We start from the raw sequence: 16,615 nt of genomic DNA, 5'->3' as shown, positions 1-16,615 counted from the left end.
TAGGTAACTAAAAATTAATTACATCTGTAAGATAAGCAGGTGAGGAAAGAGTATATTTGGGGGTAAAATGATAATAGTGAATATAAGACAGTCTCTTTCTTTAAGGAGATCATATTTATTGCCTGGTTGGGAATATAAATATACAGGGAAATCTTGTCATAGCAGTGTAATTTAATTAATAATAGACATATCTTCAAGTTATAGTGATGTATTAAGAAGGAAAAGAATCAACTACACTTGAGTGAGGCTGGGATGGTTTCAAAGAATAGAAAACTGTTTTAAGTTGTGTCTTGATAAATAAACAGGACTTTTCCAGATAGCCAATTAAGGATGGAGTATGGAAGGTTTCTGAGGAGGAGGAAAAAACTGAGTACTCCTCCCATTTTTAAAGGAGAGGAGGTCAGGAATGCATTTGTGAATGGAGTATCATCTTAGCTGAGACCTGGAGGATGAGGAGCCACTTGTTGGGTTAAGGGGAGAGTGTAGAGTTAGGAATTTTCCAGGCAGAGAGAATGGTATATGCAAAGGATTAGAGGAAGGTGAGAATGAGTATCAAGTGTGAGGAACAGAGAAAAATTCAGAAAGATTACAGCATAAAAAGGTGAGGAATTGACAAGAGATGACACTAACAAAGTGATAATAAATCAGATCATGAAAGACTTTAAACCCCTGAAGAAGTGTGGGCATTATCTGAAGAACCATGAAAATCTATTTGTATGTTTTAAGCAGGGAAGTAAGATGACAGATTTTCATGTTACTCTATTCCATTATCCTTTAACTAACTGAGTTAGCTGTTGGTCTCCCTATCCTCATGACAGAACTAATCTTATTCTTTCCGTATCAAAAATTCCTCTTTCATTAATCATCACAATTTCTCTTTTTATCTACACCAAATAGACCATTCGGTATTCTTGAGAAACACTGGCTAATCTTCTAGTCGACAAAGTCACACCCAAGGAAAGCACCAAACTTCTCTGAGGTCAATATTATGTTGGATTGTGCAGAGCCTGTTCCATAAAGATCTTTATGTGCCCAACAAGCTGCAGACAACTTCTTGCAGCTCTGCATGTGGGAGAATAGGAAATGGAAACTGATATCCACATATAAAGATGATGCAGGTATACTGTCATCTGACCCAACCTGGGGATGCAATGGGAGAAATAAAATAACATATAAAGTAGCATTTTGAAAACTTAAGTAAAAAGATTTGAAATAAAGTTCCTGGAGGCAAACTTCTCTATGACATGGTTTGTTCTTACAGTGATAGTATATTTATGGTAGTCAGTTACTGCTAAATGAAAAGAAAAATTTAGCAGATAGTTGGATTTGATATGCAAAACATGAGGGTGAAGATATAAGCAGTTTATATGTTTGTCAGAGAATACAGACACAGTAAAGTCTAAAAGTCAAGAAAGAGAAGAAAAAATAACTTGGAAGCTAAAATTCACTCTATTTAAAGAAAGATGATCAAGGCACCAGAGAAATGAGACCTATCATATTAAGCAAAGTTTCTGATTTGGACTCTCTTCTTGAACACTAAATGACTGGAAGAATTTATAAAACTTATGAGAGAGGCTCAGAGGGGAAAAGTAGGGGAGGGAGTGGGGGAAGATATTGAGGTCAGATTTGATCTGTAAGCTAGGGGAAAAAAGATATTTTTTCAGGTCTTTTTCCTTCACAGTTTGTTCTTTAGTGCCTCTCTGACATTTGTAAAGGCAAAAGGAAGAATGAGTGGTCTTAAGAATCTCTTCCCAGACAGTATCTTTTATTATTATTATTATACTTTAAGTTCTGGGATACATGTGCAGAACATGCAGGTTTGTTACATAGGTATAAACGTGCCATGGTGGTTTGCTGCATCCATCAACCAATCATCAACATTAGGTATTTCTCCTAATGCTAACCCCCCACCCCCCGACAGGCCCCGGTGTGTGATGTTTCCCTCCTTGTGTCCATATGTTCTCATTGTTCCACTCCCACTTATGAACGCAAACATGTGGTGTTTGGTTTTCTGTTCTTGTGTCAGTTTGTTGAGAATGATGGTTTCCAGCTTCATCCATGTCCCTGCAAAGGACATGAATTCATCCTTTTTTATGGCTGCATAGTATACCATGGTGCATATGTGCCACATTTTCTTCATCCAGTCTATCATTGATGGGCATTTAGGTTGGTTCCAAGTCTTTGCTGTTGTGAGCAGTGCCACAATAAACACACGTGTGCATGTGTCTTTATAGTATCTTTTAAATATGTAGTGATACTATAAAATAATTGACACAGACAATTCAGTTTTGTATTGTATAGTATCAACTATCTGCATGCTAGGTTCAGGAAGACATGAACCACAGCTCAAAACTGTCATTGCTTTCTGACACTTTAAAGTATACATTCCAGTGATTTATGTATATGGAAAAGGAGAGGAAAAAAGAATGGAATCTCTCTGTAAAGTGTAAGTTATAAAAGAATAGGCCAGGGAGTAGTAAGGGAAACAGAGAATAAGAAAAGAGATTGTAGAAAGATAGGATGATAGGAGCTTGGTGGTGTATTCAGCTGGGATCACTTAATTCCTCTGAGCCATAGAATAATTTAGCACCCAGTGGAAATCATATCCCATTTCAACCTTGGGAAATGAAGTGGGTGACGATGAACTGGTTCGTAAGGCATGAGCTGTGGAGTTCTTCCCGAGCAGGAACATTGTATTAAAGCATTTCAGGATTTATCATGGAGGGATGGTGCCATGGAAGTGTGAGGTTGGTATGGTAGGCCATCTGGTGAGATGCAACTTGTCAATCTCCCAGATGGTTTGTGAAAAGAGAGAGACGACATTGAATTCAGATCAGCATATGAAAACAGCCATGAAATCACAAACTTACCCTTTTTCCCATACACTATTTTGAAAACTTCATTAAGTAAATTTTATATGAGTTTTATATAATCTGAGAGAACATATATAAAAGTTTTAACTTTCAATGTGGAGCAATATCAATAATGTATACCACATCTGCTTTCATCTCTTTAATAGAGGCAATATTAGTCTTAAGTGGCTGAGTTAGGAGGAAGATAGAGAGCTATTCTTTTCATTGACTTATTTGCATTTATCTGAGTTTTATGAGATTTCTGTATAGGGAGGTCTAGTAGAATTTGGCTATCCAGAATTATTTATTTGCAAAAGAGTGCTCTGAAAAGTCATGGCCATATTTGTGAAAGACATTTCACACTTAAAAAATGTATTTTAGAACCATTTGGATGATACCTACTATTAATTCTAAAAATGAATGTGATCACAGTGTGGCATATTTCCAGTGTTTCCATAATCCTGGGGCTTCAACATTAACAATGTTCAAGTGTGAGAATTGTGAAATGGTGCATAGTTCTCATTATTATTTCTTGTGTTCTTCAAGTGACAAAGCCGGTTTTTATATTTGCCTTCTTTTTAGTTAGAACCTGACAATGATTATGTAGACTCACATTAAAACTCTCGTTCAACGTAGGATATGTTTCTATAAAGAATGAAACTTTTCTTAAAAAGATTGTTTATTTATGGCCGGGCGCGGTGGCTCACGCCTGTAATCCCAGCACTTTGGGAGGCCGAGGCGGGCGGATCACGAGGTCAGGAGATCGAGACCATCCTGGCTCACACAGTGAAACCCCGTCTCTACTAAAAAATACAAAAAATTAGCTGGGCGTGGTGGCAGGCGCCTCTGGTCTGAGGCAGGAGAATGGCGCGAACCCGGGAGGCGGAGCTTCCAGTAAGCGGAGATGGCGCCACTGCACTCCAGCCTGGGCGACAGAGCGAGACTCCAGACTCTGTCTCAAAAAATATATATATATTTATTTTTGAGACAGGGTCTTGCTGTTTCATCTTGTCTGGAGTGCACTGGCACAATCATGTTCACTGCAACCCCGACTTCCTGTGCTCAAGCGATTCTCCCATCTCAGCCTCTGAAGTAGCTGGAACTACAGGTGCGAGCCACCATGCCCAGGTAATTTTGAAATTTTTTGTAGAGATAGGGGTCTCGCCATACTGCCCAAACTATTCTGGAATTCCTGGACTTAAGTGATCCTCCCGCCTTGGCCTCCCAAAATGCTGAGATTATAGACATGGACCACCGCGTCCAGCCTTTAAATTTTAATTTTAAATTCATATTAAATGGTTGCTTATTTAGGACATTTAACGTAAAATGCAAATGTTTGAGATAATTAGGACTTTCAATAATTTCTAATATTCCATCCACTGTGGAAATTAGAAATAAATACATGGAGCACAGTATCAAACAAAAATAAACTTTTTACCTTGTATCTATTTTCATATTCAATTAAGATTTCAAAACGTTTACAAGCAGAAGAAATTTAACACAGGCTTTAAAAAATTAGATTATATTTATGTTTTTCATCTTCCTGTATGCTATCCTGCATTTGATTATTTCACTGTCCACTAGTTTATTCAACTCAACTAGAAGATGGACAAGGCAAATGAGAGGAAGATAAAATTAGATAAGTAATTTTTGCTATTTTTAATGTGATGGGGTCGGGAGTGGAGATCCCAGCTTGTGCCTAAATGGACTTCACACACCTTCACACACAATTATTCTGGTACACATACCTGAATAGGTACACATACCTGAATAATTGGTGACACTGAAATTCCAGAAACCTATCGGCCCACAGCTGACAAACTGCAATGGGAAAACCAAACTAACAAAGAAAACCCCAAAGCAACAGCTTGACATACTAAGAAAGGCTTAGTTTTCAAGGCATGGGAAGATTTTGGGTACATCAAGGAAGGTGCTGGGATTGGCAGTGGTAGCACCTGGTCGAGCAGGGCAGATGTCTAACAGGAAAACTTCGAGGCTGGAAGGGCAGAGAACTAGGGTTCCACAGCAAAGCCCCACTGGGCACTGAGCAACACCTGTGAGGGCTCTTCATAGGAAAAAGGCTGATATTGGGTGTGTACTGGTTGAGCCAACTGCACTGTAATTGGAGTTATTACTATAAATATGTAATCACTTTTACCTACAGATAAGTGAAATCCAAGGAGACACTGAATGATTAGCACAGTATTTGGCACACAATTGATGCTCTATAAATGTTCATAGAAAGAAAGAATAAATTATGCTCAAATATAACATATGAAAGATGATTGGTGATCATAGACATAAAACACTGTACAAATAGAATGCTGGGTGGTATGGGTATGAAATTAGATAAACAACAATTTTTAATGAGAATGATCTGGTCAGTATATAAAAGACAGGGCTAACATAAAAATAGTTGCCATTAGACAGAAATTTTTATGACTTTTATATATTAAGTCATTCCAGACACATAATTAAGCTGTGACTTCAGGTGACAGAAAGTGCACTTGGGTATGGCAAACTTTAGTTTATAAAAAGAAAAAGAAAGTACTACCGTGTTAATTAAAGGCTTCCACGAAACACACTACACACATGCACAAATACACATAAATGTGGAAAAGAAAACATCTCTCTCCCAGAGTCAATGAAACAGGTGATGCAGACATTTTTAATAAGATAATATGTATTTAAATTGTGCTTTACAGTTTACAAAGTGCTTTCACAGATTAGCTCATTTAGACCTCACAGTAATCCTGCGAGGTAGAGGTGATTATGATTGTCATTTTTACAGAGAGGTGAAGTGACTAAGTGATTGCAGGCAGGTAATCTTTGCTTTATGCTGCTTTGCTCTATTGACAATGCTACGACCTTTTTGTTTTGTTTTGTTTTTAATCAGGTACTTGGTTTTCTCTTACCTGAGGCACATACTATATTTTATTTAATAGCTGTTAAAAAACCTCAGAAGATATGCACATTCAAGAATTCTTCCCAGCCAGCACTTTGTTTCAAGTGATGGAACTCTATAAAGGCAGTATGCCTTTAATAATAGTACAGCACATTTTGTCATAAGCAGTCTGTTCCTTCAAAAATTATCATGAAACAGATTGAGAGCTAAATATGAAATGCTGAGCTCTCCAGTTGAAGCAGAGACCTCATTTCATTCAGATCAACTCTAGACAGATAAGACAAGAAATGGCTGGAAAATTATTCTATTTTTTTCAGTCATGGCAGTACACTTCCCAGCTCAAGGTTGAGACAATTTACAGAGGAGGGGGTATGACATAGCCTGCTTAACTAATAACTTTCTCTGTGGGATATATACTAAAGAGACAATAGGCATATTCTGGGGTCTTCCTTTTGTAGAAGCATCATTAGCTTATAACTTTCAAATGCAAAGTTTAATATCTCATGGACAAACTAAAAAATAAAAAAGGAAAAATAACATATCCTTGGGCAAATGAATTAATCTCTTTAATTGTGTATTAAGAGTTAATGTTGTTCTTCCACAATTTTTTGCAGATACTCTAATAAATTAAATAAAAAGAAAAGAAAAACAAACAAAACCCTTACCTTAAGGTATGCTTTTTCTTTGCAAAACTAATTTCACTGAACAGTCAGATATGTAATAATAGGCCTCCTGGGGATGTAATTTTTTATGCAACTTGACATGCAAGTAATGAGTAATTAATTATGTCTTCTATTTACACTTTGTCAGATAAGAGTATTAAACAGAAGAGCTGAGAGGAACACAGAACACTACTATTAATCTGTTTAATTTGCAAATCTAATGTAATCAAAAGGAAGACATTAGTGTTAAAATTGTTGTTGTCTGGTGGTATCTTTCTTGGAGGGAAAGGCCAATCTGAGGTGTAAAAGTCTCATAAAGCCAGCAAGTCACAAAATCTCATACAGGCTTCTAAAGCCAGGGCATAAGTCTGCCATGGTGCTTCTAACGTTGACCATAAAAGCTCCAGATTTAAAAGAATTTAAAACACCAGTTCTCCCCATCAGCACGTAACATTACATTCAGCTCTGTGTAATTATCTTACAGAGTACAGAAGCATCAAATCTATTACACTGAAGAAGATAAAAAACAAAAGAATAAGCCTGACGTTTACGAATATATAGGAATCCACTGATATACAGACTTTTTTCTGGGAACATGTGCCTGACAGATTGACGGACAGAAAAAAGAAACCGCAAGAATGATTTTGGATGGGCAGGAATCAGCTGTCTCCAGGAGTGATCCCTACCCCATTTCTGTCCAAAAGGCAGTCCCAACCAAGGACTGATTCAGTCACCTGTGTCTCGAGATATTTCCGTAGTAAGAGGAAGAGGAAGAAGTGGTAGACCAATAAAGGGGAAATACAAGCCGTGTCATAGTTTTCACACAAAGTAGTATGGTATGTTACAGTGTGTGTAGAGTTCTGTGGTCAAATGGACCAAGGTTTCACTCCTAACTCCTTTAGTTTCTCCCTGAAACTCAGTTTGCCCATTACTGAAATGATTATAATATATAGGAGTGTATAAGGATTCGATGAGATAATGTACATAAAGTTCCTAGGAATGTCCCCAATAAACAGCAGTCACTCAGTCAATGGTAGGGATCATCAGTATCATCTCCATCATTATCAATAAGGCAGTGAGGCTTGGAAGAACTAAATCATTTAATTTCTGCTTCAGTTACCTACATTGATTAGTTCCTTTGGGACATATCTTATATACAAATGCAGATAGAACCTACATTGTTGAGTTGGTGGCATGGTTATGTACATAATGGTGAGGTTTAGATTCTCTACTTAGCTTTGGCTAGCAACATGTAGTTTTAAATAAAATACAAACATGTAGAAGAAATTCTACAAGTATGGGAGCATATATATATGAATTGTAATTACTACAGTAAACGATGGCAAATTTTTAGTCACATGCAGAGGATATAAATTTGAAAGTATGCTGACAGTTACAACTTGTCTCTGAAAAAATCCATTTATTTTTCATTTATCTCTAAGAGTGCATACCGATTAATGCATAAACAACATGATCCAGGGGAGTTTAAGTCTAGGGACTAATTTACTGAACTACCCAAGCAACAGAGGATTATTTTATCTAATTAAGACAGAGCACACGTATTTAGAATTAAGCATTTGCATTTAACAGCAAATTTGGAATTATAAAATCAATTAAAGCTAAAATGAGGTATGATAATTTTTTTCCTGCACACCACTGCTGAACTAAAGCTCATTTTAATGTTTCCCTTTGCAGCATTATTGAATAGATTATTATGAATAGAAGTTCATGGCTGGGCAAAACCACCTTTTCAACCTCATTTCCAACTACTCATCCTCCTCAGGACCTGAATCTGTCCCCACTGTTTTATTCAAGCCTCCTAAACATAACTTACATTTTCTCGTGTTTCTACTTCTGTTCTTCTCTTTCTCCAATGTGAAATGTTTTCCTTAACCTGCTCTTAACTGTTTAAACTCTATTGGACTTATATTAAATTTTTGTCTTCCTTCATGAAATCAGTGCTCCCTCCAGCCCAAGAGCTTTTTCCTTTATCTGAATGCAAGGACATTTATTTCAATACAGTTCTCTTTCTCATTCATTTATAAACTAATACGTTAATACTTCAAAGCTTCTATTATAGTATTAACTCATATATTGCCCTTTAGCTTCTTACATGTTTGTTATTTTCACTTGTATTACAGACTTCTTAGCAAAATAACTTTGTTTTGTACTCTTAAAATGAGGAACACAGTGCCTTCCTTACATGTTTACCTTAATACATGTTTGATGATTGACTGGTGGAAATATCTGAACATGTATTCATCTTCACATTAATACTTCATCCATTCTTTTCCTCTACTCCGCTCCTGTTTTACTCAAACCTTGTAAGCTTATCTTATACTTTCTATTTTGTTCAGACTTATTTATACCATTTCCAGATATGCTACTTAATAATTACTAAAAGAATGGAAGAATATTACTTTATCAATTAATATTTTGCCCTTACCTCTTACAGTGGTAATTTCCTTTTTTATCTGATTCTCTGAAGAGTCATTAAAATGTTGCCTTTAACAATGTTGTGGGAATTATGAAGGGGAATGCCTTAATGATTGGTCCTTTCAAGAACTTTCTAGATAAACCTGGTAAGAATATAGTCCAATATACAACGTGCTTCATAATAAATTTGAGTTTGCAGCTAATGGTGTTTTATTGAGGTCTTTGTGTATTTTGTGTATGTTCCTAGGTGCTTCAAATTTGCTTCGATAACTTACTTTCCCTGCAATTGTAGTTATTGTTTTTCTGAAACAGTCCCTGTAGGACAAAGACTATATCTATCCACTGTTAAAATACATAGCAGAGTGCCACACACACATACAAAAAACAAAACAAAGCAAGCTTTGAAAAACCTAATAAAGTTTTTAAAAACATTTTTCCTGGAGATAACTACAGATTTATACGAAGTTGCAAGGAAATATACAGGAAAGTTCCAGGTACTTTTGATCCTGCCTCCCCCAATGTTGATATCTTACATATTAAAACAAGAAAAATCCAAAAGGTGAAATTGATATTAGTACATCTCATAGAGCATATACAGATTTCACCAGTTACATATGTGCTCATTTGTGAGTGTATGTCCAGATCTTACAAATTTATCACATGTATAACTTTATGTAATTACCACCACAATCAAGATATATAACTGTTTCATTATTTCAAGGCTTCCTCATGTTAGCCCCTTTTAGCCACATGCAGCTATTCCCCATTCCCCTAATCCCTAGTCTTTGGCAACCATGAAACTTTCCTTCATCATAATGTTATATAATGGAATCATACAGAATGAGACCTTTTGAGATGGACTTTTTCCACTCAGCATTATTTTCCTGAAGTTCATTTAAGTGGCTATGTGTATCAATGGTTCATTCCTTTTCATTGCTGAATAATATTATATGGTATGGATGCACCACAGTTTTTAAACTTTTTACTTGTTGAAGGACATTTTGGTTATTCTCAGTTCTGGGCTAGTAGGAAGTTTCTAGGAATATGTGTGTACAGGTTTTAGTTTTTGATTTAAGATAATTGCAATTCCTTTTCTATGGTTAGTTCATCTTAGAGCAGAGATTTTCATGGATGAGTGAGATGGGCGAGGAACTAGTGACTGCATACTGCACAAAACGTGTTTGTTTGTGTTTTCAGGAAGAGGTAACCATCCATCACGGTTTTCCCAGAACAGGCTGATTTGCGTCTTCTGTCCTGGCATAAGGATCCCTTCACTCTCGGAAGTGTTCCGGTTGGTATGATAAATTACATAATCACTCTGATTCAGTTTACATAAGGATCCCAAGTATCACTATTATGCCTGCTTGGTTATGATGGAGTTGAATTTTAGTAAATTTGTAATTTTTCTAAGTGCCTGTGGAGTGACTCACTGGAGTCTGAGGAATGAGATCATCTTCCTGCAATGAATGATAGTCTTGCTGAAGTCTCTACTATTCCTGCTGGCTTCTTTTCTGCTATAAAATATTTCTTCCTACAAAACGTTTCTTCTTGAGTCAGTTTTATGGTTGAGGACACTGTCCAAGCTCATGCCTTAGCTCCACAACTGGAAAGGAAAATATTCTTTCACCTCCCCTGCCATTGCCAGTTTGAAAACAATTGTAGGACTAGGTTCTGATTGTTCTGGCTTAGATCACATGCCAATTCCAAAGACAGTGGTCAGCGAGGTGCAGTCCCCACATGGGCTTAGGTCAGGTGTTCACCTCTTGGCTGTTCATTCTGCCCAGAGCAGTGAGGTCAAGTAGGAGAATGGTATCCCAACTTCAGACTATGTGGATCAAAGAGGAAAAGAAATTTTCCTCCAAGATTAGCAAGATATTAGCAAGGCTGGGCGTAGGCTGACCTGGTGGGATGGCAGACTGGGCTGCTGGAGGAATAGTGATCTGTGCAGCCACTGTGATTTGTCTTCTATGAAGAGATCAGTACACTGCCAAATGCCATAGCTAGTAAAGAATACAGCCAGAATTCAATCCTATATCTTTTTTTTTAACCAGCATGCCTTTATTCTTAAGTTCCTTATGCACAGTGTTTAGTTGTGAAAAAATGGAAAATAAATGCCTGCCAATATAGCCTCTGAAGTTTTGCTATGTGTGTAATTCTTCAGTAGTTACACTAATGGTGGGCACATACATAGACAACAATCTCTTTGCTCAACAAATTCCTTTTCCCCACTTCATGGTTACAATCTGTATCTATGATCATCTACGTCTTTAACAATGCAAATACACTTGGGAATTGCATGCAATTGACCTTGACATATGGGTTAATGTCCTAAATTGCAGAAGAGTGAAAATGTTCAGGTCTTGAAAAAAATTATCACAATACCTTTAAGTGAAAAAAGCATGTATAGTAGGGAAGTTTTATACCTTTTTTTTTTTTAACATACACACTCAAATGCACAGATACAGGAAAAGATTTGGAAAGATATGTCTCCAGATGGTAGCTATTTTGGAATGCAGTGTTTAGGAATGATGATATTCTTTTTCTGCCTGTTGTATTTTATACATTTTCCGCTGTGAACATCTGTCAGTTTTCCAGTTCTTTGTATGTTATTACAGAATTCTCGTGCATGATGATGCACACCTGATTCAGGCTTAAAGATATCAAATTAAGAATACCTTACTTCAAAACCATAAGCAGCCATATAGTAAAGAGGCTAATTGAAGGCCTCAGTGTAGCAGCAAGAATTTCAATGGAAAGATTCTCATTAGTTTCTCAACTATCCTTCAGAAAAGAAAGATGTTACATCAATCTAGCAGTAGAAATGAACCAAGGTAATAGCATAGAGATGGAAAAAGGGTTTAAAGATGCAACTGTATTTTATTTGTTGCAAATAAATAAAATGTAAATCCAAGGAAGCAATCTGAGACACATTATAAGGGTGGCTCAGTTTTAGCAAATTTCGCTAATTAAAAAAAAATAACAAAACCTCATAAACTAAGTTTTTAGAATGAATTCCAAAGTATTTAGTTCTAAGTCCTTGTGATTATTTTAGCAAAGCTTTGTCAATACCACAATTTCCATATTACAAATCTCAAGTATCTAACCACTTTGAATAAGGCCTATAGTCAGTTCTAAAAGACTAATTAAAAAGTATAATTTAGTTAGGGAAAATTGCAGAGGAAATTCCCCCATGGCAATGCAGAATAAACTTGGGCACATCTCCTCACTATGTTTATATGTAAATAAGGCTATTACACCAATGCATTTCATAAAAACCTTTTTTTTCTATAATCCTTTAAGAGATGACCACATGACTCAATGTTTAATAATACATGGAGACAATATACCATTCCCTCGGTCTTTTACTATTTATCTTATTAATCAACTTAACATTCACGAACTTTAGAAGCCAATTTTTTTTCCTAGATAAAAATCTAAGAATTTTAAGTACATTCAAATGAGAAGATATTTCTTAAGGTGATGGTGTCAATATGTATTATTATAAGTGTGATGCTTATACTTTGTGGTATTTGGCAGTAACAACACTTCAATTTTTATAATTACACTTTAGTTATCAGCACAATATCAAAGTAAGTAGAAAGCTCATAGTAATTTTACTAGGATATCTATTTTATGGATCACCAACTTGACTAAAATTGGAAATTCCTGGCTTATCTCAGAGACAGGATGATGTGTGACAATTAGCTTAATTCTAGTGTAGCCACTCCAGAGACAGAAAGAGACTTGTGTAAATGTGTTTTCAAATGTTTCCAGAAATTTTGATTTGATATTGAGTAAAGAAGATTATTAATTTTAAGGAAAACAATTCATTAAAGAATTATTAATGCTATTTTTATACTCCAGAAGTGAGTCTCCTGATCATAAATTTATAAAGGCAGGAGCAAAAACTCCTTTCAGTCATGTATGTGAGAGTGTAAATAATTTGATCACAATTTTCCTTCTATTTTTGGCTTTGGATGATATATTGATTTGCCAACAAACAGAAACAAAATTAAAGTTGTAGAATAAAAATTACAGCTAACCCAAACTTCAGTACTTTTTCAGTACAGTTAATAGACTATGGATATAGATCAGTGCATTACAAGATTATGTAATACCTTTCAACTTACCAGAGAAATACTGAATTATTTAAGTAATAGCAGTTGTCTTAAGCATATATTTTGTATGTTAGTCACTTGAAAATCTGGACAATTCAGGTTTTTGGTCTATATGTACTAACACTTTATGTAGCACTCATGAATCAGCATGTTTAACTCACTGTCTGTGTTGCATAATAAAATATTTATCACCTAGTATTTCAACTGAGTATAAAAATTACCAGTTGTTTCTATAAGAAGTTACGTAATGGAATTTTATCCAGGAAAAGACAATCATTTTCAAAAAGTCATTTTTAAAATTTCCGTGAGGTATCTATGTGCATTTAAAAAAATAAACAATAAAATTTCCAAAAGTAAAGGAAATCATAAAAGTTTTAAGTTTTGAAGAAAAACAATAATTTATCATCAGAGCTTCAGTTAGTTGTGTGAGTTTCCAGAAATGCCTTTTGAGGTCTAGAGACAATCTGGTTATATGACGTGCATGGTGAGAGAAAAAAAGATTTACACATTAAGTTTCTATTTGACATTTTCAAACCGTAGAGCCAAGATAAAAACAAAGTTTTACATTTTAAAAACTTACTTTTTATAAGTAAGTAAATTATAGGCACAGTCAATGAATACGATGGAGAATAAATGATCAGAAAAGCTATGCTTTTGCTTCATTACACAAGGGAACCTATTTATGACTTGGGCACCCATCATTTGGTCCTCAGTGGTTTACTCTAACCTGATAAAATAAAGAGAAAAAAAAGGGTCAGGAACATTATCTTGATGTCTAAATGAGCTCATTTTCACCTGTGGTAATAAAACCTCTATTCCCTCCACCAGAGCAAAATGGCATCTCCAGGTCATCCTCCACCCTGGTGCCACTGCCTCCCCAGCCCGACTCAGTGGCGCCTGCCTGATAGACCCTCCCTCCTAGCTCATCTCACTGTGCAGCTTCTCTACTCCCTGTGCTTGCACACCTGCATCCTGCTATTCCTCTGTCTCGAGTCTGTCCCATACCTTCCATTTGACCTCCCTCACTCCATTTATTTATTCAACACTCATTCATTCACTCGTTCAACAAATGTTCACTGGACATTACCATAGGCCAGGCACTCTTCCAGGAGCTGAGGATACAACAGTGAACACAATGGACAAAGTCCTTGCTGTCATGAAACCTATAAATATTCCCATAGAGGAGCTAAGTTATCATAAAATATGCAATGTAATGTCATTTAGTGAATGATACATTCTCTGAAGAAAAAGAAGCTTAGGTAAGAGTGGTAAAATATTAGAGTGATAGGGATGATTTTAGATAGGCTGTTCAGAAAGAAGTGCTGAATAAAAATGTTTCTTGAGCAGAGATTGGAATAATATAAAATCTGCATGTATAGAATGCTTACTATGTGCCATGCATTTTTCTCACACTAGCATTCCCAACTCCTTACCATGGTTCATCGTGGAACACCCTCGGGAAGAATAAAAACTGTTTTCTACTCAATTTGTTATTGGGGCTATAAAAAAGAAAAAAATGGCAATAGGCAGAAAACTCAGGCTGGTGTAAATAGCTTAAAGTTGTGTGATGGAGGATGAGGACAGAACAGTGAGATGACAAGCTTCTCACATTTTATCTTTATAAGCCATCAGGTCTGTTGGCAAAGCAGTTATTCATAACATGCATGAGAGCAAGAGCAGTTACTATATAGTGCTCTACTAAAGTCAAACAGAGATGGAAGTAACATGTGAATGCTACAACCAGAAGTAGTTAATCTCAAGACCAAACCAAATCAACAAAACAACAAAACTGTTGTCTGAAGGTGGAATGGCTACTTTACAGCTGTTGGTAATGTCACCATTTATGATTAATTAGCAGTGATATTAGAGACAATATCTAAGCATCAGCTTAAATTTTGAACTAGATGGTCTTTGAAAAAATATGGCTTTATGATTCAATGATATATACTGAACAAAGTTGATTGGTCTGTTAAGCTATATATTAAGATAATTACATTGGAAAATGATGTTAAAATGTATGGTTCATTTTTTGATTCAAAACTCAAAGAAACATTTTACATGTACAATTACTGAAGCCAGAATTAGTACAGTCCATAAAGTAAGGAAGATATCTACGTATTTTCCTCCAAAAGCATTTTCCTGAACATCAGTGTTTTATAAGAAAGTTGGGATGATTGCTTTCCAAGCAAATTCTCCTGATTCTGAGATTTAAATTACAGTTGATCTTGCTGCTATGTTTTCTTTATCCTTAAGGTTACATTTATAATTTTTTAAACAAAGGAAAGATAAACAAAGCATCTATCATATAAGCATAAATATTGTTTCTTAGAGCATATTCATTATTCTCCTGAGGTCAGAAGTTCAAGACCAACCTGGCCAACATGGTGAAATTCTGTCTCTACTAAAAATACAAAAAATTAGCTGAGCAGGCTGGTGCATGCCTGTAATCGCAGCCACTTGGGAGGCTGAGGCAGGAGAATTGCTTGAACCTGGAAGGCAGAGGTTGCAGTGAGCCTAGATCATGTCACTGCATTCCAGCCTTGGTGGCAGAGCAACAAGACTCTGTCAAAAAAAAAAAAAAAAAAAAGAAAGAAAGAGAAACAAAAAGGATACTATAATCAAACAAGTTTGAAAATGTTATACATCATATTTCTCCTGTGGAAGATACAATACGTGTTAACATATTAAAAGTTCTAAGAAATTCTGGCACACAAAAACAAGTTAATACTAGTTTAAACAAAGTTAAACTAATAATTTCCCAAATTCATGTCACCACAAAGGTATTCATTTTTAATAACATTCAATACAAGAGTATTGCCAGCCTCTCCAGTGTACTGTGGAGCACATTTTGGGAAATGCTGCTCTGTACACATTTTTATTGCCCTACCTCTTTGACTTCACTTTGCCTATTTTTACTATTTTTCTCTTTAGTTTATTGTTATACATAACATTAATTGAGTGCTCACTGTATTCTAGGCACTGTTCCCAGTACTTTGTGGTCATTTTCTTATTTATTCCTGACAATAATTCTAAGACATATGTATAAGAGATGAACAAAAGGGAATCCAGAGAGGTGAAATAACTTTCCCAGCATCCTACTGCCAGTAAATAGCATAGTGGAGAATTGATATTGACTTCAGGTCTCTCTGATCTCACCTGGCACCTATGCTCTTATCAGATAAGGGGCTGCTTTTTTATTCTTCAATTCCCGGAAGCATTTATACCTCCCAGTCTCCAGAGAGTCCAATAGCCTACCTATTTCCTAATATAAAGATATTTTCCAGACCTTAGCTTATAGGGCCTCTCTGTTGCATTAGATGCTGTTTGCCAAGTCCTCCACTTGAAATTTCCTAGATCTTGGGTTTCCTTGATTTTGCTTTCCTTCTGTACCTCTCTGGCTGTGCCTTCAACTTCTTAAATTCCTTATTTGCCTGAAATTAACAATCGGTGCCTCTCAAGACCCCCTTCCGGCCCACTGCCCTTCACTCCCTTTCTCTCTGCTAGGGGATCCCATTCACATCTCCAGGCCTTCCATCTCCTCTACCCTTCAGACTCATATCAAGTACCTGTTTTTGTTTATTTATTTGTTTTCAACTGCTTCAAACTCAAAGGTCTACCACCAAACCTACCATGTCTTATATC

The 16,615-nt window shown here is 36.0% G+C and overlaps 1 protein-coding gene and 1 long non-coding RNA gene across 10 annotated transcripts in view; one reads left to right on the top strand and one right to left on the bottom strand.

Moving 5' to 3' along the window:
• Nucleotides 1-16,615, top strand: part of LOC105369673 (uncharacterized) — a 79,767-nt gene that overhangs the window by 1,183 nt on the left and 61,969 nt on the right. For 3 of the 5 annotated variants that reach the window (XR_007063224.1, XR_007063226.1, XR_007063225.1), the window contains exon 2: nucleotides 10,053-10,146. This is a non-coding gene — a long non-coding RNA (uncharacterized LOC105369673). Of the gene's footprint in view, nucleotides 1-10,052; nucleotides 10,991-16,615 lie in introns of those variants that run through there. The other 2 variants (XR_001749021.2, XR_001749023.2) reach the window with 1 other exon arrangement.
• The window catches only part of PTPRO (protein tyrosine phosphatase receptor type O), a 275,824-nt gene that overhangs the window by 250,809 nt on the left and 8,400 nt on the right, over nucleotides 1-16,615 (bottom strand). The gene's annotated exons all lie outside the window — the stretch shown is intronic.

Source organism: Homo sapiens, chromosome 12 (assembly GCF_000001405.40).
Source record: "Homo sapiens chromosome 12, GRCh38.p14 Primary Assembly".
In the NCBI taxonomy this organism is placed as follows: domain Eukaryota; kingdom Metazoa; phylum Chordata; class Mammalia; order Primates; family Hominidae; genus Homo; species Homo sapiens.
Note: the sequence above shows the minus strand (reverse complement) of the source record. Positions and strands in the feature narration are given on the sequence as shown.